Here is a 2,731-nt window from a genome sequence, read left to right as displayed (position 1 = left end):
TACAAAACAACAACTCCTTTCCTTCCTAGGCATGGTTAGCGTGGTCAGAATTCTTATACAAGAGCCAGGACCACACCCTGTAGCCTTTCTGTCCAAACAACTTGACCTTACTGTTTTAGCCTAGCCCTCATGTTTGCGTGCAGCAGCTGCTGCTGCTTTAATACTTTTAGAGGCCCTCAAAATCACAAACTATGCTCAACTCACTCTCTACAGTTCTCACAACTTCCAAAATCTATTTTCTTCCTCATACCTGACACATATACTTTCTGCTTCCTGGCTCCTTCAGCTATACTCACTCTTTGTTGAGTCTCCCACAATTACCATTGTTCCTGGCCCAGACTTAAATCCGGCCTCCCACATTATTCCTGATACCACACCTGACCCCCATGACTGTATCTCTCTGATCCACCTGACATTCACCGCATTTCCCCAAATTTCCTTCTTTCCTGTTCCTCACCCTGATCACGCTTGATTTATTGATGGCGGTTCCACCAGGCCTAATGGCCACACACCAGCAAAGGCAGGCTATGCTATAGTACAAGCCACTAGCCCGCCTCTTAGAACCTCTCATTTCCTTTCCATCCTGGAAATCTATCCTCAAGGAAATAACTTCTCAGTGTTCCATCTGCTATTCTACTACTCCTCAGGGATTATTCAGGCCCCCTCCCTTCCCTACACATCAAGCTCAAGGATTTGCCCCACCCAGGACTGGCAAATTAGCTTTACTCAACATGCCCTGAGTCACATAACTAAAATACCTCTTAGTCTAGGTAGATACTTTCACTGGATAGGTAGAGGCCTTTCCTACAGGGTCTGAGAAGGCCACCACAGTCATTTCTCCCGTTCTGTCAGACATAATTCCTCAGTTTAGCCTTCCCACCTCAATACAGTCTGATAACAGATGAGCCTTTATTAGTCAAATCAGCCAAGCAGTTTTTCAGGCTCTTAGTATTCAGTGAAACCTTTATATCCCTTACGGTCCCCTGTCTTCAAGAAAAGTAGAATGGACTAAAGGTCTTTTAAAAACACACCTCACCAAGCTCAGCCACCAACTTAAATAGGACTGGACAATACTTTTACCACTTTCCCTTCTCAGAATTCAGGCCTGTCTTCGGAATGCTACAGGGTACAGCCCATTTAAGCTCCTGTATAGATGCTCCTTTTTATTAGGCCCGAGTCTCATTCCAGAACCAGACCAACTTAGACTGTGCCCCCAAAAAACTTGTCATCCCTACTATCTTCTGTCTAGTCATACTCCTATTCACCGTTCTCAACTACTCTTACATGCCCTGCTCTTGTTTACACTGCTGGTTTACACTGTTTTTCCAAGCCATCACAGCTGATATCTCCTGGTGCTATCCCCAAACTGCCACTCTTAACTCTTGAAGTAAATAAATAATCTTTGCTGGCAGGACTATGCTGAACCTCCTTAGGCACTCTCTAATCAGATATCCTGAGTTATCTCAATTCTTAGACCTTTTATACCTGTTTTTCTCCTTCTGTTATTCCATTTAGTTTCTCAATTCATCCAAAACCGTATCCAGGCCATCACCAATCATTCTATACGACAAATGTTTCTTCTAACATCCCCACAATATCACCCCTTACCACAAGACCTCCCTTCAGCTTAATCTCTCCCACTCTAGGTTCCCACACCGCCCCAATCCTGCTTGAAGCAGCCCTGAGAAACATCGCCCATTCTCTCTCCATACCACTCCCCAAAAATTTTCGCCGCCCCAACACTTCAACACTATTTTGTTTTATTTTTCTTATTAATGTAAGAAGGCAGGAATGTCAGGCCTCTGAGCCCAAGCCAAGCCATCGCATCCCCTGTGACTTGCATGTATATGCCCAGATGGCCTGAAGTAACTGAAGAATCACAAAAGAAGTGAATATGCCCTGCCTCATCTTAACTGATGACCTTCCACCACAAAAGAAGTGTAAATGGCCAGTTCTTGCCTTAAGTGATGACATTACCTTGTGAAAGTCCTTTTCCTAGCTCATCCTGGCTCAAAAAGCACCCCCACTGAGCACCTTGAGACCCCTACTCCTGCCCGCCAGAGAACAAACCCCCTTTGACTGTAATTTTCCTTTACCTACGCAAATCCTATAAAACGGCCCCACCCTTATCTCCCTTTGCTGACTCTCTTTTCGGACTCAGCCCACCCACCTGCAACCAGGTGAAACAAACAACTATATTGCTCACACACACACAAAAAAAAAACAAAACAAAACAAAAACAAACAAACAAACAAAAACATTCAAGAGGTGACTTGGGTGCTGTTAAAGGCATTCAGTTTTATAAGGGAAGCAGAGAATACAAGTTCAAAAAATTTGCAGCCTGACACTGTGATAGAAAAGAAAAAATCATTTTCTAAGGAGAAATTGAAGCTGGCTGCAGAAATTTGCATAAGTAACAAGGAGCTGAATGTTCATCCCCCAGACAATGGGGAAAATGTCTCCAGGGCATGTCAGAGGTTTTCACGGCAGCCCCTCCCATCACAGACCCAGAGGCCTAGGAGAAAATGGTTTTGTGGGCAGGGCCCAGAGTCCCCATGTTGTGTGTAGTCTAGGGACTTGTGCCCTGCATCCCAGCCACTCCAGTCGTGACTAAAAGGGGCCAAGGTACAGCTCAGTCTGTTGCTTCAGAGGGTGCAATCCTCAAGCCTTTGCAGCTTTCATGTGGTGTTGAGCCGGCAGGTGCACAGAAGTCAAGAATTGGGGTTTGGGA

At 45.1% G+C, this 2,731-nt stretch overlaps 2 annotated features.

The window, feature by feature from the left end:
- Positions 471–1,410: an enhancer, noted in NCBI's record as "H3K27ac hESC enhancer chr4:95006597-95007536 (GRCh37/hg19 assembly coordinates)". NCBI's record gives its function as "activates a minimal SCP1, AML or CMV promoter by ChIP-STARR-seq in naive H9 embryonic stem cells {active_cell/tissue: H9 hESC(naive)}" and the evidence as "EXISTENCE:reporter gene assay evidence [ECO:0000049][PMID:30033119]".
- Positions 1,411–2,349: an enhancer, noted in NCBI's record as "OCT4-NANOG-H3K27ac hESC enhancer chr4:95005658-95006596 (GRCh37/hg19 assembly coordinates)". NCBI's record gives its function as "activates a minimal SCP1, AML or CMV promoter by ChIP-STARR-seq in primed H9 embryonic stem cells {active_cell/tissue: H9 hESC(primed)}" and the evidence as "EXISTENCE:reporter gene assay evidence [ECO:0000049][PMID:30033119]".

The sequence above is a fragment of the Homo sapiens genome, chromosome 4, assembly GCF_000001405.40.
Source record: "Homo sapiens chromosome 4, GRCh38.p14 Primary Assembly".
NCBI classification, from domain to species: domain Eukaryota; kingdom Metazoa; phylum Chordata; class Mammalia; order Primates; family Hominidae; genus Homo; species Homo sapiens.
Note: the sequence above shows the minus strand (reverse complement) of the source record. Positions and strands in the feature narration are given on the sequence as shown.